At 52.6% G+C, this 20243-nt stretch overlaps 1 protein-coding gene and 1 long non-coding RNA gene across 28 annotated transcripts in view, besides 3 other annotated features; one reads left to right on the top strand and one right to left on the bottom strand.

Moving 5' to 3' along the window:
• Positions 1-1886: 1886 nt before the first annotated feature.
• Positions 1887-20223, bottom strand: NTRK3-AS1 (NTRK3 antisense RNA 1). The gene is made up of 4 exons (NR_038229.1): positions 19475-20223; positions 6081-6172; positions 4867-5086; positions 1887-3488 (listed from the first exon to the last, which is right to left on the bottom strand). It is a non-coding gene; the product is annotated as an NTRK3 antisense RNA 1 (long non-coding RNA).
• Positions 14361-14655: an enhancer, noted in NCBI's record as "tiled region #8091; HepG2 Activating non-DNase unmatched - State 13:Ctcf, and K562 Activating non-DNase unmatched - State 13:Ctcf". NCBI's record gives its function as "activates a minimal TATA promoter and a strong SV40 promoter by Sharpr-MPRA in HepG2 and K562 cells {active_cell/tissue: HepG2 | K562}" and the evidence as "EXISTENCE:reporter gene assay evidence [ECO:0000049][PMID:27701403]".
• Positions 16214-20243, top strand: part of NTRK3 (neurotrophic receptor tyrosine kinase 3) — a 396989-nt gene continuing 392959 nt past the window's right edge. For 17 of the 27 annotated variants that reach the window (XR_001751292.3, XR_002957645.2, XR_001751293.3 and 14 more), the window contains exon 1: positions 16774-17047. Coding sequence is in view for 24 of the 27 variants with exons in the window: in NM_001375812.1 (NP_001362741.1) it covers positions 16800-17047 (248 nt within the window). In the remaining 3 variants the exon portion in view is untranslated. 27 annotated transcript variants of the gene reach the window in all.
• Positions 16996-17532: an enhancer, noted in NCBI's record as "H3K4me1 hESC enhancer chr15:88798652-88799188 (GRCh37/hg19 assembly coordinates)". NCBI's record gives its function as "activates a minimal SCP1, AML or CMV promoter by ChIP-STARR-seq in primed H9 embryonic stem cells {active_cell/tissue: H9 hESC(primed)}" and the evidence as "EXISTENCE:reporter gene assay evidence [ECO:0000049][PMID:30033119]".
• Positions 17533-18070: an enhancer, noted in NCBI's record as "H3K4me1 hESC enhancer chr15:88798114-88798651 (GRCh37/hg19 assembly coordinates)". NCBI's record gives its function as "activates a minimal SCP1, AML or CMV promoter by ChIP-STARR-seq in primed H9 embryonic stem cells {active_cell/tissue: H9 hESC(primed)}" and the evidence as "EXISTENCE:reporter gene assay evidence [ECO:0000049][PMID:30033119]".

The raw sequence follows: 20243 nt of genomic DNA, 5'->3' as shown, positions 1-20243 counted from the left end.
GTGAGACTCAAAGGAGTGATTCTACTTGTGTTGAGATGACTCGGTGAGCAGACTTGACATGTCTGCGGCAGATGAGTTCCCCTGGGAATTTGCAAGCCCAGGATGGGGGTCGAGTTTGAAGCCCCTGTGTTTCCTTTTGGGCCTCTGAGACCAAGAGCAAGTCTCTCTCTATCTCTCTGCACCTCTAAGCTTCCTCAGGGACTGCTTAGCCATAATGTCAAGTAGCTGTAAGGGTCTGTGGCCTCACAGCTCTGCCTCTCCTGTTGGCCCTGTGGTGCCGCACTCAAGCCTCTTGCTGAGCCTGGGGCTGTGGATTGAGCTGGCTCCTCTTGAGTCTCTGGGAGAGAACCAGGAGTAGCAGAGCTGATGTGCTTATGGCTCTCAGAGATGGGGCAGCTCAGGCTCGAAGGCTTCTGCTGCTCTCCTCTTGCTCCCTCCTCTGCAAAGACTTGGGGTTCAAATCCTAGCTGTGTGATCTTGGGTAAGTCAGATGACCTCCCAGAGCCTCAGCATGGGCACTTGCTGGGTTAATTTCAAGATTCATTAATCTTGAAATGACTCTACTTGTGTTCAGATGACCCGGTGAGCAGACTTGACATGTTTGAAGAGGGTGAGTTCCCCTCGGGATTTGCAAGCCCAGGATGCTCCATTCCTTCATCTCAGCACTGTTTGTCATCTGCCCTGGAGCTCCACAGCGAAGGGCACATCTCATCTCAGTTGGAATGGGTTTGCCCTTTCCTTTCTCACTTGGCAACTGTTCATTTCCCCCTGGAACTTCTAATGAATCTTGAAATTAACCTGACATTAACCAGGTATCCTATGGCAGGTACGGCAGGTATCCTTTCTGTGGACCATCTCTCGGAGCCACCCGCCTCACCTTGAACACTGTAGCATGAAGCACCTTCAACAGCCACTTGCTGGAATTAGGGGGATGACCTTCCCCCTTTGCCCTGGGTGGAGGGGATTCCTGGGATGTGGGACTTTGAATGCTAAAACCTAGAATGATCTGGGCAAGCCAAGACCAGTTGGTTAACTTAGCTGGACTCCCCATCCATTTATCTTCCTCTGCGACGTGGCTGTCCTCCTGTCAGCCCTCAGTTAAAGATTCACTGAAGGATGGCTCGGGGCAGCTATTGAGGACTGACGCTCTGTCCCTTCATCTCAGCACTCTTTGTCACCCCTTGGAGCGCCACAGCAAAGGAAACATCTCCTCTCACTTAGAATGGGCTTGCCCTTTCCTTTCTCACTTGGCAACTGTTCATTTCCCCCTGGAATTTCTAATGAATCTTGAAGTTAACCTGGCATTTTCTCCCTGCTTATCTCACATGGGGAGCCTGGTGCTTTGGGCTGTCCATTGCTGGACAGAGGAGGAACAGGAGGAGCAGCTGTGTGCCCAGGCTCAGCCTGCAGAGGGACAGCAGCTCTCATTCCCCTCATCGCTGAGGACCCTGGTGCTCATGAGGCCTCTAGGTGCCTGGGTCTGGTTCTTTTCAGTCTCCCAGGATAAACAAATGTATTTGGGCTCAGTGCATGACTTTTCCTAGGGCAAGAAAGTCATCGTATTGACTGGTGCTGTTCTCAGATATTTTCACTTCCTTTCAAGTTGAGAAAAGGCCCTGCAGGGACATAAGGCCAGTTTCCCAATGACCATGGATGGGATCCCACATTGCTGCAACCTCTTCCAGCCCATTTAAAGAAGGGCCTTCCATAGAAGCACAAACCCCAAGGCCACACAGTCTGACAGTGGACTTAGCCTTGCCTGCCTTCAATTTAAAACCCTGTCCAAAGACCACACTGCTCCGTTGGCACATTTCTTCCTGGGACCCAGAGAAATATCCTGCTGGGATGGAAAGTAGGGGATGGGAAAGAATAGCAAGCATTATTTTCTGGTTTGGTTTTCTAGTTTAATTCAATGTGTACTAGATAAACACACATTGATGGAATGCCTGTTAGGTACTGGACTCTGTGTAAATATATGGCCCTGGCTTCAAGGAACCTAGAGTTCAGGATAGAGGCAGAAGTATGCATGGCCATCTCTGACGGATGGAAGACCAATGGAAGGCTCTCAATGATGCTGTAATAGTTGCTGAGCTGCCCCGTTCTGAACATACAGGAGGCAAAATTGCTTGGAGAAATTGGGGGGCTTGTTAGGGAGGTGAGATGCCTGGGCTTTGAAAGCTAGACAGAGTTTTGACAGGCTGGAGCTGAAGAGCCAAAATATAGAGATGGGTAACAGTGGGAAAAGGTGAGATTGGAAGTGGGCTGGAGCCCAGGTGCTGGGCACAAGGGGCAGTCTGGTGGCAGAGCAGCTGAAGTGGGAGGAGAGGCTGGGTCCTGGACAGTGCTGGATGCTGGGTGGTGGAGCTTAAAGTGGAGACCTGTAGGCAGTGGGGATCCAGGGAAAGTTGGAAAGCAGGAGAGAGCCAGAAACCCATCATCTTTTGACAAAATGTCAGTTCCCCTGTGACTTCCCCCTGTTGCTGTATTTTCCTGTTTCTTCTTTAACAAGGAGCTGGACCAGACTTCCCCCACCTGGAGCAGCCTTTTCCTTTCTCTTCATGCCTGGAGCAGGGAGGTTTGACCCAGCCCTAGGGAAGCTCTTGCCATTGGCTCCACTTCATTCCCAGGCTGGGAGTGGCAGAGCCCCTCCTCCCCATCTCTGCACTGGATCCCACTGCTCCCTGGCTGCTTAGAAGCAGGGCTTTGAGGTCAGACAGATGCAAGTTTGCTCCTGGTCTCCCCAGTGTAACTTCAGGTACGCGACTTAACCTCTTTAAGTGTCTGATTCTTCACCTGCAAAAGATGGATGATGAGAGAGACGCCACTGGGTGGGGAGGAGTCCACTGGCATCTGACCCTCGTGGGCACTCAGGGACGTGCTTCCTTTTCCCTCTTCTCCCTTTCAGGCTGGGGATGGGAGGAGGGTATCTTGGCCTTTCCAGGAAGCAGCTAGCTAGCGTTGGCTGGGGAGACAGTGGGCAGCTCCAGGTGCTGTGGGGCTCCTTGTTGGGCTTCCCAAAGCTGCTGGCCTTTTAAATTGCCTTGCTGTCTTCCTTACAGGATAACAAGGGCATAAATCAGGAGCTGTCAGCATTCATTTCCATCCTTGGGTGGACAGTTGTCCTGCCCTCACCAGGCTCCAGGCATGTCTGCAGAAGATCAGCTCCCTAAAAGCCAGGGAGGGTGATGGGCTGGGGCTGAGGGGGTCAGTTCCAACCCCAGAGCTGCAGGAGGAAGGGCCGGCATGCGCTGCCACTCCCATGTGGGTCTGTCCTTCCTGGTCCACATCAGTCCTGGGTCAGAAACCACAAGCTGTCAGACAAGTGGGGCCTAGAATCTTCTCTCTGAAATGTCAGGCTGCCAGGATGAGACCAACAGTTGCCAGGGGCTGTGTGTGCCAGGAATGGAAGAGGGAAAACCTTCTGCCAGGAGCCTCGGGCAGAGACTTCAACAAGGGTGGTTGCTCCTTGTCCTTCTGCTTCTAGGGGACTGGAGGGTGCCAGAAGCAAAAGCAGCTCTCAGAAAATCAGTGAAGAGAATGAGAGGTAGCAGAGAACCTCAGGACTTGAGCAATAGAGCCCTTAACTGCAGCCAGGACCTAGAAAGCTTGGGTGTCTCAGCTGGGAGGAGTTTTTGAAGGGCTCCAATTTAAACACAGCCATTTTACAGATGAGGAAAATGAGGCCCAGCAGGACCAGACTTGGTTATCTGGGTCTTAATCCCAAGGCAGCTGCCACAGGATCTCATAAACACAGAACAGGCACCCAACAAACAAACAAATGAATCAATGAAAGTAAACAGATGTATGAATGAAAATGAATGAAAGAAGAGAGCTGTAGCCCCTCTGACTCTCCCCAATGAAAATGAACCTCTCGGCTGGGCACAGTGGCTCACGCCTGTAATCCCAGCACTTTGGGAGGCTGAGGTGGGTGAATCACTTGAGGTCAGGAGTTCGAGACTGGCCTGGCCAACATGGTGAAACCCCGTCTGTACTAAAAATACAAAAATTAGCTGGGCGTGGTGCCACACACCTGTAATCCCAGCTACTCGGCAGGCTAAGGCAGGAGAATCGCTTGAACCCGGGAGACAGAAGTTGCATTGAGCTGAGATGGTGCCACTGTACTCCAGCCTAGGTGACAGAGAGAGATTCCATCTCAAAAAAAAAAAAAAAAAAAAGAAAGAAAGAAAAAGAAAATGAACTTCTCTATGCGCTCACTGCCCACCGACACCTGGCCCCTGCCATTTGCCACGTGTCACAGATGATATTCTGCTGTTTTCCCTAACAGAGCCGACAGACCATGAGCTACTTGAGACCAGAGACCAATCTAATGACCAATTCGATGTCTCTTGCCTCGCCCATGGCTTGCCCTTGTTAAATGCTCTGGGATGCTCTAGACCTTTTTTTTTTTTTTTTCATTTCCACTGGATCCATCTGGGGTAAGGGATGCAGGGACTGAGAGGATATTCCTATCCTGCCTCAGTTCAGCCCAAGAGTCAGCTGGAGAGAAGCAGGCGGCAGAAGCAGGCAAATCGGTCCTCTTTAGGAAAGGTCAGCTAAATCAGCCCCCCTGCAAGAAACGTGCCTGGTATTTTTAGAAGCTCTTCAAGCCTGTGGGCCTGAGCTCAGCAGGAGGCACTCAGAGCCTTCACCCATCCAGCCCCTGATCACCCCAGTTTAACCCCACTTCACTGTCTCCTACTTCAGGCAAGGGAAGGTAACTGAGCAGAAGCTGATAGAGTCATTCAGCGAGGCCACATGGCTAAACCCTGATCTCCTTTAGATGATACAATAGGCGGTCTCATCTACTTCACTGGCCAAAATGTATCATGTGACCATGAGAAAGTCGCGTTCCTATGTTACTCCTACCTGTACGATGGAGAGGTCATTATATTTGCCTGTAAATCCATTTCGGAAACGAGGCAGGAAAAATAGGTATCCAATAAACACCAAAAATTGCTGTACTCTGCTGGATTCTGGGGGACTGTTGTAAGGCCTGGGTGAGGTTATGTTGGAGAATTTTGTGTTCCTTGGAGAGAGATGCTTAAAGAGCTGATGTCATAAAAATGTGTCATAAAATGCTGTTGTGCTGAAAAAAGAAAAAAAAAGGGTAGCTTTCCACTTGAGAGAGAGGTGTGTGGTCCAGGAGGGGCCAGCAGCATTTGGGACATGAGGTTCTCAGACCTCTAGCCAGAATCTGTTACTTGTCTTTCTTTCTTTCTTTCTTTCTTTCTTTCTTTCTTTCTTTCTTTCTTTCTTTCTGTCTGTCTGTCTGTCTTTCTTTCTTTCTTTCTTTCTTTCTTTCTTTCTTTCTCTTTCTCTTTCTTTCTTTCTTTCTTCCTTTCCTTCCCTTCCTTCCTTCTTTCCTTCCTTCCTTCCTTCCTTCCTTCCTTCCTTCCTTCCTTCCTTCCGTCTTTCTTTCTTTCTTTCTTTCTGTCTGTCTGTCTTTCTTTCTTTCTTTCTTTCTTTCTTTCTTTCTTTCTTTCTTTCTTTCTTTTTCTTTCTTTCTTTCTTTCTTCCTTTCCTTCCCTTCCTTCCTTCCTTCCTTCCTTCCTTCCTTCCTTCCTTCTTTCTTTCTTTCTTTCTTTCTTTCTTTCTTTCTTTCTTTCTTTCTTTCTTTCATTTTTTTGAATGGGCAGAATGGATGCCTCGGAGTAGAAGCCTTTGGCTGTAGTCCTAACTAACTATGCAGCTTTGGGGACATAACTTAGTTATCTTGGGCCTAATTTGTCTACCTATAAAATAGCAGGGACAGGGGATTGTACTAAATGTGGTGTTTCCCAAATTGGTAAGTTTCCATGAGGCTTTTGTGACTGTGGCAATACCCCAGGGTCTTCAAAGGCACAGGAATAACAAACATGGCACAAATCTTCCACCCCCTTCCCCCTCATCCCCTCCCTCCCTGCTCTCTCTCCTCCAAGTTTGGGAATTCTAGTTGGGAAAATGTGAGGAACACAGGAATGGTTAATCTCTAAGGCCTTTTCAAAGATTATGATTTTATAATTATAAAATCAGTGATATTATTATTGCTATTATTTTTGGTATGTGTGAGGGAGTTGGGGTTAATGATAAACTGAACTCACAGAAATGTCTAGTATCTTCTTTCTTCTTCCTAAAATCCCGGGACTGGAAACTTTCAGTGGACTTGGAAGTTGAAAGCAAAGTGAGCTGGCTTCTGTGGTCAGCCCATGAGGGCAGGGAGGGACAGAAGAGAAGAGTGGGGGTCAGGAAGTGCGGTGATATTTACAAAGTTCTATTCTGTCATCTTTGCATCAGAGAGTTTACAGATTAAAAGTATGGCTTCTAATTCAATCTGGCACAAGGGAATGAGGATCCTGCCATCAGCATCCTTCATTAAGCACCTTCTTTTGCCCCCAGCCTCTGCAGTTGCCCTCACCACACACGCAACCTCCCCACACACCCCTCTGGCTCCCACCTCTCTCTCCGACCTGCATCCACATGTGCATACCCAGCCCATTGGGAGTGCCCCTCACCCACACCCCACCGCACCCCACCCACGAGTAAAGCCCACCCGCCCCCCGCCACCTGCTCCCCGTGCTCACCTGCACTGTCCAGCCCCTGAAGACCCCCTCGCAGGCTGGAGGTTCCTGCCACCCTCAGCACATGCCCCTGGGGACCACATGTGGTGAGTTCACACACCCATCCCCGAGCCCACTCCCCATCTCTCTGTCGCTGCCCACAGCCTTCCCCAGGCTTGGAGCACACACTTGTTCACCCTGTTTAAGATCAAAAATAAACTCTCTGGAACCTGTTCAAAGGTTAATGTGCATCCTCCCTTAATTATTGATTTGTTGATTACAGATGCTTGGGTAGGACATTCATTGTGTCCACTGTGCCAAGGGCCTAACTCTAGAATCCCTGTCCTTTTTGGGAGAAAGTTGGCCCATTGATCTTTTGGGAAGGAGCTATTTGAGTGTTAGATAAAACCTGTCCTGCCACAGGACAGGTCATAGACTAAATATTGTGCTCCCTGCTGAAGCCCTCATTAGCCCTAGCCCAGGATGGTCTAGGGCTATGGCTAATGAGGGCTTGGATGGTCACCGCTGGGGTCCTCCCTCCTTCCTTCGGTCTCAAAACCAGGGAAACCCTGGCAAAGGGGTGTGGGGATGCAGAGGGGCAGAAGTGCACCTCACCAAGTCCCCTGCAGAGGTGGCAGTCTCCCCTTTCCTCATTGCCTCACTAGGGACAATTTAGTGTAAAAAGTGGCACCTGGTTCCATGCTGTGTTTAGGAGACCAGGGTTTAAAACCTGGCTTATTCCACGTACCAGTTGGGTGACCTTGGACATGTGATTTAACCTCTCTGATTCTATTTCTCAACTGTAAAACCAAGTATTTGTGAGGATTCAATGAAATGACACACGTGAAGGCTATAGAAAAATGTCACACACAGAAAACAGTCAATACGTTGCGGTTGAAGTTATTATCATCATCATCACCATCATTCTGCCCATCTTCATCTCTGGGGCCCCACGATCGTAAGAGATGGCTTTCTTTGGTCCAGGGGATGCTTCCCTTTTGGTATGTGGGTGTGGCCTCTGGATGGCTTCTGCTACATTTAAATCTGTCAGGGACACTGAGCCCTGGGGCAACCATAAACTCTTCTGGAAAGAGGTTAGATCCTTCACACCACAGTTCTATGGACATCTCCTTGTTCGTTCCAGCATGAGGCTGGGCAAGGGGAGTGTGGGGCTTGTCACTGGGAAACACTGGGGAGAGGTCTGTCATAGGGCACATGCACAGTGGGAAAATGTCACTGCCATCCATCCATGGGGTTGGACTCCTGGGCTCTCTTTCTTGGAGGGAAGTTCTAGAACTTGACACTAGGAAGAGGGTGTTCAAGGGGAACTCCAAGTGTCCGCAGTGCTTTGAGGGTCATCTGGCTTCCAGCAGTTGGATGAACTCATGGTGCCTTCCAGGTGTGCTTCCAGGCTGAGTTTCTAGGACCCCTTCCCCATGCCTCACATTCACCCCACAGCTTTGAGCATCCGACCTGAGCTTTTGTCAGGGCTGGTTTGCACCTTCCCCCACTGCCACCTTCATTCCCTTTCCCACCCCCATCCCAGAACTCCCTGGGCTGGGCTTTCTGTTCCCTCAGTTCCCAGGCAGTGCAGCTGGTGCTGTGGGCTGGGGAGGGGGTGGAGGACGCAGCAGAAAGTCTGTGGGAGGGAACTATCTCTTAGTTCCAAAGGCAAGCATGGCTTCCCATGCCCTTCCCCACAACGCATCGCTTCCCCCAAATTCCCACACTGGTGTCTCAGCAAATAAGACAACACTTTTTTTTTTAAATTTTGGTTTTCCATTTGCTCTTGATACCTACTTAAATGTGTGTTGTGTGTGTGCTGTTCTCAGTAATCAGTGCCAGAAGAAATTGGAGCTGATCTGGTGATTTCTTGTTTTGAGTCCCAGGTATCTGGCAAATATCTGGTCTCCTCCTCTCTGGGCCTGAGGAGTTTGGGGCATCACCTCTTTGGCCCTCTATGCTCCTGGAGTTCTGTTCTGTTTAAAGAAACAGAAGCCAGGATAGTTTCTAGCAAGCAAGGAGGGTGGAGTTGTGAGCACCCTAATAGGGAGGCCGAACCATCTGGTATGGAGCGGGCCCCCTAAGGAAGAATAGTAGAAAGAAAAAATAAGGGAAGGGAGAACTCCTATGTATCAAATCCTGGGCTAGGCACATTATGCACGTTTTATGATTGCCTTCTCCAAACTGCATTGCAAGGGAAATATCCATGAGCAGTGCCCTTCAGGAGAGGAGGATGAGGCTCTGCTAGGTGAAATGATAAGCCCAGGTCACCAGCTAGAAAGTGCTGGAGCTGGGGTTCAAACCAGATTTGCCTGGGGCTAAAACTCACACTTCATAAAGCTGCCCCTTGGAGGCGAGAGTGTAATGCATGGTGTAAATGGAAGCTGTTGTCTTGGCTTTCCTCAACTCTGAGATCATCTGGTTGTTGATAAATGCAGGCAGGTCAGAGGTGAAGTGCTAATCAAGTGTGCAAAGGTACTGGTGTCCGCTACTCTTAGTGGAAACCAGTGGCTGTCATTTGTGAGTGTTAATGTCCACAAGGTGTTTTCAGGTGCATTATCTTGCTTGGTCCTTGGCATCATTGGATCCCCACGTGACAGAGAAGGAAGTGGAGGATAAGAGAAGGACAGTAGCATGCCCAAGGTGATGCAGCCCAATATGCTTTGATGCTAAATGAATGCATTAGTACAAAGATGGGTCTGAAAGCCATAGTCCTATAATCTGAGCCAGAGGCTCAGGGCCAGGGCAGCTGGAAGGTGTGGCATGGGCTGCTTTGGTGAGGAGCAGGTGGAGAGAAGGGCAACCGTGGGAGGTGGTGAGGCAGAGGCGGGAGCCTGGGAGCCGAGCAGGAGTGGGCTGGGTTGACCAAGAAGGGCAATAGGATACAGTGGGGGCCCTAGGAGATGGGGAGGAACGAAGGGGGAATGTCTAACCCAGAAGAAGTCTTTCTTTGGCTTTCTGCAGGGCAGAGGCCACAGTAATGGGGCTGCTGGACCTGGGCTCTTCCCTAGACTCAGTGGGAGGAGGCTGCCAAAGGCCCAGGTGGTAGGACATTGCTGTTCCCAACCTTCTCTTGAAAACAGGAGCTGCTAATCTTTCTGCTTCTAGAAACCCCTTGATATTTGCCTTGTTGGGGAGAAGTGTGTGGCGGCACATATAACTCTGGGGATACAGAGGAAGTGGTCAGCTCAAAGCACCTCACTTCTGTTAAGTCCCAAACTTCTCTTGTGGACACACATGGGGTTTCAGGCAGCAAAATAATTCATTTAATCTTCCCCCAAAATATGTGGTGTCCATTTTTGGGCTAGCACCAAAGTAGGCCCTGGGGGGTATGTAGTGAACAACACTGACAGCTCCTGGCCCTCTTGGTCCCTGCAGCCCAGGGGGAGGCAGACACTGAACCCTTACTTCCATGTGTGTGGAGTGGTACAAAAGGGCAAGGTGTGCTGGGGGCAGCCATTCATTCAACAACCACCTAGAGAGCCCCTCTGTGTTCTCAATGCCGTTTACGGGGCTGGCAAATCAGTAGATAAAATAAGCAAGGTCTGTGCCCTCAAGGAAGTTACATTTTAAAACCTGGTAACAGGAATATCTCCTTGCAAGTCAGGAAGGTGCCCAGACTTCTCTGCCCCACCCTGTCAATCTTAGTTGCTTCATCTGCCAAATGAAGGCCATTATCCCCGGCTGCCCTCTGAGATGATCCCTGGCTGCTCTCTCATCAGTAAATAGGCAAATGGCTGGGTATTGTGCAGAGGAAGGCACAATGTAAGTTACTCCGAGAGAGCTCATCTAGGAAGGCACGTGAGGGCTATGTCTATAATGGAGGGTGGGTGTGGAGGTGCAATTCTCCAGCCTCTCCATTCCCCTCAGTCCCTGTCAGTGGTGCTGCACTAGCCTCTGCCAACCACCTGCAGGTTTCTGGCTTCCTAAAAGTGTGAGTCCTGACTCTTGACTCCTGATTTCATACCTTGGGGGAAGTTGGCTCATGGAGTGGGAATCCCTCTTCCCTGGCTCCCCTAACCTGCCTGCAGTGCTCACCTGCTGGCAGGAAGTCAGCTGCCTGCCCTGGATCCTGCTGTCTAAGGAAGGGCTCTAGCATCTGCTCCTGCAGGGCCCCCACCAGGACACTCAGAGGCCAGGGAGGCCTTGTGAGTCACTGCCTCTGCAGGACCTAGGACGTGCGGCATTAAATTCCCAGCCCAACTCAACTGCTCAGAGCCGGTGGTGACTCAGCAGGGTCTACCTTCCTATGGAAGGGACCAAAGCCCAGAAGGAGCAACTCAAAGGCATGAGAACCAGCAGCGAGGGGCTCCGGGGCTGAGGAGTTGCATCTCAGGGGAGATGTACCTGGGCCTGCGCTCTGTACTTTCTTCCCCAGGGACCCGAGATTCACTGAACCCTCTCTGGCAGCACACCACTTTGGGGTCTAGGACCAGAGCCAGAGAGTATCTGTGGGCGGTGGCTGCACCCGACCCATTGCACCAACTTGCCAGGGGGTGCTGCAATGTGTGTGGGAAGAGCTTCATGGCGGCATTGTGTTTGGCTGTTAGTGGATAAAGGCTGCTGGGGCCTCCCTGCTGGGTGGTAAAGCCCTCTGGGAACCTCAAAAGTGGCATAATAAAGTTGACATACCATGCTTATGTGCACCAGGCACTATTCAAAGTGCCTTACTGTGTTATCTCATGACAACCTTGTGAGTTAGATCCTATTTTGCAGAAGGGGAAACTGAGGCGGAGAGCCTTAAGTACATTGCTAGGGTTCGATACTAGCGGGTAGTAAACCCTACATGACACCATTTTAGTCCCATTACAGCTGCTTACCGCCTGGCTCCCCAAGGTCAGAGCACCTCAAGCCGGTGTGATCTGGAGCCATGCTTTATTTAAACCGATCACTTTGACAAACCGAATGCATTTCCAATAGCTGTAGTGGGGAAAGATCAGAAAGCTGTGCTTTTGGAGTATAGGGAAGGAACTGAGGCTTTGCTCAGAGAAGAGAGGGGCAGTGAGTAGCCTCCTGGGTGGCTTGCAGAAAAGAGGTGAGACTTTTCCCTGAGGGTCTAGGTGGCAGCACTAGCACGAGGGTGGCAGCTTTAGGGTGCTGGCTTCGCTATGTCAAAGTCAAGGATACCCAAGGAATGGAGCTGTCTGAGAACAGAGTCGAAGGCTCTGGAGTGGCTGGTAATGAGCTTCCTGCCACTGAAGGTGTTCAAGCAGGACACCACCAGCAGGTAGTCCCAACCTCCTGGCAGGTGTTTGTCCAAGATATTGGGACTTGAGTGGGAGCCCTGAGCTGGCTCTTCCATGGTTGAATTCTTCTGCTTTCCTGGACCACTTTGGTGCTTGACTGTCCCCTTTTGTGGGTGGGCTTTCATCTTCCATGTATGGTCAAAATTCTTTCCTTGGACCCAGAGCTTCTGGATAGCATTATACATCCCCAGCCTCCAACCAGGCCCAGACCTGTCTCTTTCCCTTGTAACTTATGCTTGGGCCACCCAAGAAACAGAACTCCTCCTCTAGCCCAAGCCCAGATCTGCCAGCTCCAGATAGCTCTTTTAGAACAGCAAGTCCTTCAGGACCTAGTATTCCCTTTGTAGCCCGCTGTGCTCCCCAGTCACCTCCCAGTATCACAGTTTCTTGACCAGCTGAGACTTGCAGAAGTAGATCCTATTTCTGCTCAAACTTGAAAGTTGTGAAGCACAGCTCTTGGATTCAGAATGACACCATAGGAGCAGGGCATGGTGGGTGAATCCATGGACCTGCCTGGTGTGTGGCCTACATCCCGGTAATGTGGCCACTGACTCAGGAGTATGGGTCCTTTGGAAAAAGGGATGTGGCTGGGTTAGAAAGGCAGACAGGTGACCAATAGACTGGCAGGGCTCTGCTCTGAGTTTCCACTCCCTTTCTCCCTTGCTAGGTGGAGGGGAATGTGGGCTGCTGGAAATCTCCCATAAACAGTTGATATTAATCTCAGGTGCTTGCACGCCTGGAACATGCCTTTTAAGAAAGACACGTGTTCAATTTCTCTAGGTGTCAGGGGAGTTGGGCCACTGTGCTCCAGCAAGTGGTCCCCACTCTGACCTGTCTGGTGAAAGATTGCATTCGAATCTTGGGAACATTTCTGTCTTCTCCAAACCCTTGGTACTGGAAGGTGTCTGCTCGCCTGTAAAGGGTTTCTAAAGCTTTACTTTCTGTTCAAAAAACAAAACAAAACAAAAAACTTTGCCTATTCCTGCCTCTTATTGATCAGCAAGGGGCACACGGGTGAGTTTCCTCCTTTCTAAGACTCCAGCTGGTAGCAAAGGAGATGAGGAGGTTGGGGGGTGACCCCTGGTTGGCTGGATGCTGAGCTTGGTCATGATATCTCCAGGACTCCATGAAGCGACAGGCATTTTTCCTTTTCAACCAGGACATTCTTATCAAGAGGTGAGACACTGTAAATGCTCTGGACTCTTACTGAGGGGAGGGTGTCTACGCTGGAGACTTTCTTCTGCTCCCACATTTAAATTTGGCCTACTGCAGAGGTTAAGAACTAGCAAACTCTGAGTGTGCACTATTATTGACCCTGCACTATGATTTCTGTGAGCAGTGCATGAGCAGGTCATTCTCATCTTCTTAAGCTTAGAATGAAACTTCAAATGTCTTTTTCTGACAAGGCCCCTGCCTCTGAGATACCCAGTTTATTTCACCCTAACTTCACTGTAACTGAATAACATTATGAGGACCCATCCCCATCATTCCCCACCTTTTTTTTTTTTTTCTCCCTCAACAGTCCCTTTGGCCCAGATCCATGTAGAATCAGAGAATCTTCAAGCTGGGAGGGATGACTATGGGGCTGCGATGTGCTTATGAATCACCTGGGAGCTTGTTCTGATGGACATTCTGGTTTGGGAGGTCTGTGATGGGGCCTCAGATGCTGCACTTCTTGCAAGCTTCCAGGTGATATGGATGCTACTGGACAGAGGGCCACACTTTGGGTTTTGAGGATCTGGTCTTAACGTGGTCATTTTACAGATGGGAAAGCGGAGTCCCAGAAAGCTTGTCATTTCCCTGTGGTTAGAAATGAAATTCTGCTCTTCCCCACTCTAGTCTATCACCTGCTTTTTTTTTTTAAACCTTTAAGTTCAGGGGTACGTGTGTAGGATGTGCAGCTTTGTTATACAGGTAGACATGTGTCATGGGGTTTGTCGTACAGATTATTTCATCACCCAGGTATTAAGCCTGGTATCCATGAGTTATTTTTCCTGATCCTCTCCCTCCTCCCACCTTCTACCCTCTGGTAGACCCTCATGTGCATTGTCCCCTCTATGTGTCCATGCGTCACCTGCTTTTGAAAGGGCTTCCCTCTTTTTCAGCTGTCGCTTCCTGCTCAGGCCCAGAGTGTGAGCATAAACGTAGCACCCCATCTTAATCCCATTTTACTGTCAGGATGAAAGACTTCTTGCCCATCAGGGCCCCTTGCTCCACAATCTGCATTTTTACCAAATCCAGAGGGGTTTTTAAAGGTTTTTTGTTGTTGTTGTTTTTGTTGTTCTAACTTATGGATGTCTCTTCTTCTCTGCTTGACATGTTAAAAATCCTCTCTCTCTCTCTTTCTTTCTCTCTCTCTCTCTCTCTCAAAAAAGTGGGCTGGGCATCTTTTGGACACAACCATTTCAGTTCCAGGCTGGAGCACTGATGCTGGGCTGAATCCACTTGGCGTTCCCTGCCCAGGAGTGGTCTGAGAGAGGCTGTGTTTCTCTGCTGCCACCTGCCACCTCCCAAGAGAGGCCAAGTGTTAGGATCTGACTACACCTCAGTTTCCTGACTCTCAGATATTCTAAAGCCAATCCCAGAATGGCACTTGAAGTGACAGGGAAATTCCCAGTGGCCTAAGGACAGCCAGGATTGGCCTAGGGCCAGTAGCAAGTGGTTTGAGAGTCCAAGGAGGTCTTCACACTCTGTCCCCGCCTGCTGGTGGGAGGGCAAAATGCCAGTCTGGAGACAAGGCCATAATGGCGACGGGGGTAAAAATCTCCCTGGGGCCAAGGGAAGGTGGAACGTGACGGGAAGTCGGGAAAACTGCCTTGTATAGGCATGTTCTTTTCTTCCATTTTTTTCGTCCAAGTTTTTACTCCAAGCGACAGTGCCACCCGAAGGCGACCGGCCTGTTTGTGGTTGCGCCTGGGGCAGGCGGTGACACCGGCATACCCCTTCCCCCATCTTGCCTGCAAGTTGCATGACCTGCATCGGAATCCACAGGGGGGCGGGGGAGACTCCTTTCAGATACTGGATGCAGTTGAATTGAATTCAATGTATTTTGCTTCCTCGCCTGCCCTCCTCCAAGCTCGGGAAGGAGAACCCTGCTTTCTTCTGCGTGTGAATGCTGTAGTGTGTCTGCCTGCTCGGACTCCCCTAACCCTTTCTTCTCCTTTCCCACAGCGAATGCTCGTTTTTTTTTTTTTCAGCAAACAGCTCACACTTGGCATCTTTATGTTTTATTAAGAAAAAAATCCCTACCAGCGCAAAAGCGGGGCCCCCCCCACACACACTTCTTTCCCGGATGAGATCTGAGCTCTCGTCGAAAGCTGCACCTGCTTTGCGTCCCTACCAGGAAGGGGTGCTTGTGTGGGAGGGAAGGAGGAGGTTCTGCGCCCCCGAATCCGGAGAAAGCAGCCCGCCCGCCCCCTCACCCGGCAGCCAGCTCAGCTCACCCGAGAGCTGAGCCCGAGAAGCCGGCCTCTGACGGTGCTGGCGTGGCGCTTGCCAAAATATGCCCCTTGCATCTCAATTTCCCCCGGCCATTTCTCTTGCACGCACAGCTCGCCCGGGGCCACCTCGGCTCTCCAGCGCAGCCCTTTCGACCCCTGTTTCTTCCTTCCCCGATCCATGCCTGCTCAAGGCCGAATGCAAAACCCACCTCCAAGAAAGCGCAGCGGGCACGGGGGGCACCTAGCGTGCCATGTCCCGCAGTCCCCTCCCAGCCAAGACCAGAGCCCCAGACTCTAGATTACGGAAATGAGTGTCATTCAGACCAAGGACTGCGCGTCTGCGGTCCCGGTCCCCGGCTCTGGGTGCTTCTCTGGGGTGTCTGTGCGCTCCGGCACCCCCCGTCGCCGTCCGTGAGCCTGCGCCCCCCACCCACCCAGGCTTGGGAGCGCCCCCCACCCAAGGCTTGGGAGCACTCCCCAATCACCTCCGCCACGTTCATTTCACTTCCTACCGCGGTCCGGATTGCAGCAAAACCGGGTAGCGCGAGGGCCAAAAAGTGGAAAGGAGAGCGCCTTTCCGTGTCGTGCAGCCAGCTCGCCAACTCTCCCTCCCCAGCCCCGACCCTCGCAATCTCAAATGCAACTTTTTCCCTTCGGTCTCGGTTTCCCCCGGGCTGCGGCTAGCGGGCGCCGCGCTGCGAGGCGTGGAGCGGGCGGGCTGCCGCGAGGCTGCGGGTGGCGGTGCCGGCTACAGCCGCGAGCCGGCGAGTGGGTGGGTGGGTGGGTGGGGAGGAGGGAGAGGACAGGCGGGGAGAGAGACGGGTGTGGGGAGGGGAGGGAGGGGGAGATTCCGCTCTCCTGCCGCTCCCAGCCCGGGCGGGGGGCGGGGGGAGGAGGCCGCGACGAGGGAGGGGAGGAGGGAGGGAGGAAGGGAGGGAGGGAGCCGAGGAAGACGCTCCGATAACCCGTGCGTTTCGTAAGGCTCGGAGCACTTGTACATTTCTGCAGCCGCGCGGCGAGCCATTCGCGGCGGCTGCTGCAGCTCCTACTGCATCTTCCTTCTCTTCCTTTCCTCGGGCTCCGGGTGTGTGTATGTGTGAGAGTGAGTGTGTGTGTTTTGCAGGTGCGTGGTGTGTCCGTTTTAATTCTGCCCAGTAGGTGGGACTTGGTGACTTTAGCACCATTTTTTCCTTTTCCTTTTTTTTTTTTGCCTCCCCACCGTCTGTTGCAACCCTGCAAAGTCTCGGAGTCGGAGAGCGCGCCTCGCTTCCAGAGCCCCCGGACCCGGCGAGTCAGCGATCGCCGAGCCGGCCACCATGCCCGGCAGACCGCGCCACTAGGCGCTCCTCGCGGCTCCCACCCGGCGGCGGCGGCGGCGGCGGCGGCGTCCGCGATGGTTTCAGACGCTGAAGGATTTTGCATCTGATCGCTCGGCGTTTCAAAGGCAGAGGCCCCCCCTCCCCCTTCCCCCCTCCCTCGCCGTCTTTGTTTCCTTCCCCCCCTGCTCTCCCCACTCCCCCCACCCCACCCCCCTCTCCTCTCCTCCTCCTCTTTTTTAGAAGCAGCGATCGGAGATGGATGTCTCTCTTTGCCCAGCCAAGTGTAGTTTCTGGCGGATTTTCTTGCTGGGAAGCGTCTGGCTGGACTATGTGGGCTCCGTGCTGGCTTGCCCTGCAAATTGTGTCTGCAGCAAGACTGAGATCAATTGCCGGCGGCCGGACGATGGGAACCTCTTCCCCCTCCTGGAAGGGCAGGATTCAGGGAACAGCAATGGGAACGCCAGTATCAACATCACGGACATCTCAAGGAATATCACTTCCATGTAAGTCAGGCGGCCGCTCCCCAGCCTGCCTCCCCCGCGCTCTGCGTCTCCCTCCTGCCCACCCGCGGCCGGGAGCCGGCCCTCCGCCCGCCCCAGCTCGCCGCTGCCCGCCGCCCGCTGGGCGCGCGTCAGGCTCGCTCTGGCTCGGGAGATGCTCTCCGGCTGCGCATTCCAGGTGACTCCGGCCCTGGCGAGGCGCGATCCGGCTATGCGTGTGTGTGCCTCTCCCCGGAGAGGACCCCGGCCGCCGAGGGCACGCGGGGCCCAGCTACCGCCCGCCTCCCAACCAGTTGCTGGCTCGTTTCGATGGTGCAAATTGTTTTTTTTTGCTCCCCACTAAATAGCAACAGTTTGGCCACGCTCAAGTGGAATAAAGTAGACGAGGTTCGATTCTTTGGCAGAGGCGGCAGCGGCGGTGGCAGCGGCGGCAGCGCTTAGCCGGCAGGGAAGGTGACAGATAGGGACTGCTCGCGATCCAGCCGAGGTGTTTAACTATTTCCATTTGGAAACAGCAAAACATGCTGACAAGTAAACAAGTTGCGAGCTGGCTGCTCGCGGGGAGACTTTGGACGTGTGGAGGCCGTCATGGACGCCTACCTCTTCCCTTCCCCTCCTGCAGCCCGCCCTCTCCAGCCCCATTTTGGGCATTTCCGAGACACCCCTTTGCCACCCTCATCTGCATCTGGGCGCCTACAGATCCCTTCCCAGTTTGGGCTTTGATAACTGCTCGGAACTATTCCGAGTCAGGATGGCGCAGGGAGAGGAGAGGGCGTGTGTTTTGAGGAGAGGGGTTTCTTGTGTGATCGTGCGGATCGGTTCATTTGGAACATTCAACTCTGGCTGGCTTTTGCTTGGTTCTGCCCCCTCCGAGGGAGACCAGTGGTGGCCTGCTCTTTTCTCCTTGCTATTTTTCTTTGGTGGGGATGGCAGCAGACGCAAAGGAGAGGACAGATCGAGGGCTGGGGACTGGAGAGTCTGCTCCTCTTTTCTTTCGTTGACCTCGGCCAGGTGACCCCTTCCTAACCTACCACCCTGGAGAAGGGTGTGGACCATACTGGAATTGCTCAGAGGATAATTCTCACCTCTTTTCCCCCAAGGCTTCCAGCCCTTGGGGACCCTCAGCAATGGGTAGGCAGCTGAGAAGGGTTTGTGCTGAGGTCCTGGCCAAGGTCTGGAGGAAGGCATTTTGGGTGGCTCTTTACCCCTTCGACGGACTTAAGGGGGCCGGACCTGCCTTTGGTGCTGCTCTGGGAGCACCTCCCCTTGCTTCAGCCCAGGGCCATGGGGCTGCAAAGCCTGGAGGAATTGCAGTCCTGCTCTTTGGAAAGCCCACCAGCCCTCTCGGCTTAATGGAGCTTCTGCTTGCGCTCTCGCAGCTGACAGTTTGAGGGAAATGGATAGCCCAGGAGATGTCTCTGACTCCTGGCCCAGGAGACAAGCTTGACCCATATCTCAGCTCTGCTGTTCACCCCCTTACCCTCTTCAACCCGGCCAGAGATGACAAGATAAACAGCCAAGGGGCGGGGGTCAGCAGGGAGGGCAGGAGGAACAGGACAGACCCAACTGTGCCTCTCCCCCACTGCAGGCCACAGGCTTCCAGCATTCCCAAGGATGCAGGGAGAAGGGTTCAGAGTGAGACTGTTAGGGAAACTCAGACTTGGAAGTGCATTGCTGGGGCTGTATGTGTATGTGTGTAGGGGGTGGATGTGGGTAGTAGGGTGCTGGTGAAGGTGGGAGCTGAGCAGCCAGTCTTGGTGCTCAGAAGCCTGACCTAGAGATTGCCAGGGGTGGGCCAAGGGTTGGAAGAAGGGGCCCCTGGTACCCAGCCTGGGTCTCTGGGAATGGGTGAGCTGCATCCAGTGTGCTGCTCCAAGGATGTGTCTGTCTGTAGAAAGCCAGTGGGAGGCAGGGATGGTCACAATCACGTAGGCTCTTTATAGCCACACAGAGGTGTTGCTCCTCTGAAAATGATGCTCAGGGAAGCAGTTTCATAGGGCAGAGTTGGGTTAGCCTTTCTAGGCTGCCAGAAAGGTCTGTGATGGGAGGGGACTGGGGTGGCCTCTTGCCCTCTTTGGTACTGGAGGGCCTCAGGAGGGCGTCTGGGAGGATAGTGAGCAGGGAGTGGATCTGGAGCCCCTCTGTGTGTGTCCCCATTCTTGTTTCAGGACTTGGATTCTGAGAGGCCATCAGGACTCCTTTCTCTAAATCCACCCAACACCAAAGAACAAGGGAAATGGATTCCCACAGGAGCTGTGCCAGTGGCAGGTGGGGGAGGGTCAGAGGTCATGGGTCAAATGACCTCTCCTTGCCCCATCTTTTCCCCAGTGCCCTGTTATATCTATGGCTGGTATTGACTGAGCTCGAGAAGAGCCCAGATTTCCACTCCAGAGCCAGGGGGCTGGAGAGAGGGCGGAGAGTCACGCTTACCCCGGAAAGTCAGCATCCCCATCCCTGTTTGACTTCTGAGGAAATGGAGGCTTGGGGTGGTAAGGTCACTTGCCCCAGACACACAATCCCAACAGGAACCCCCACTGTGTGGGGCTGCATATGGAGCAGGCTGGAAGAGGGATGTGCGGGCAGAGAGAAGCACCCGCAGCTGGGGTCAGTTCTTGTTTTAGTATGACTTGGGAAGAGGGCTTCAGTTGAAGCCCGTGCCTTGCTGGAGAGTTGTTCTTCAGATTTCTGATGTTATCAAGGAAATGGGACCAAGAGGTCCCCTAGCTCCCTACTGGCCTGAAGCTCTTGATGCTGGTGGCTGCCCCAGGGTATAGCTTGGGCACACTCTGGGTAGAAGATGCTGAGGCCTCCACAGTTTCACCCTCTTGTTCTTCGGGCTGTAATGTTTCGAGATCCTTCCTTCAAGTGCTGAACTGATTGTAACTGAGTTTCCAGAGGGACAAGAGGTTTCCCTGTGGTTCTGCTTCTCAGGGATGGTGTGTGGAGTGATTCCTGTGTGGCCATCCAAGGAAGCTGGCTGGGAACTGCCTCTGATGGGGGAGGCCATCTCCCCATTCAGCTGCCCTGTTTGTATCTGGAGGAAATCAGTTGCAAGGCATCAGAGCATAAGTGTGGGTCTCACCTCCACCCCTCACCAGAGCCACGCTCCTCCAAAGGGCCCTCCCTTTTGGCCCCTTTCTGCCCAGGAGGCCAATCCCTTTGCCTTTGCAGCTGTTGATACACAGGAACCTCATGGAGC

This window comes from Homo sapiens, chromosome 15, assembly GCF_000001405.40.
Source record: "Homo sapiens chromosome 15, GRCh38.p14 Primary Assembly".
Lineage (NCBI taxonomy): Eukaryota > Metazoa > Chordata > Mammalia > Primates > Hominidae > Homo > Homo sapiens.
Note: the sequence above shows the minus strand (reverse complement) of the source record. Positions and strands in the feature narration are given on the sequence as shown.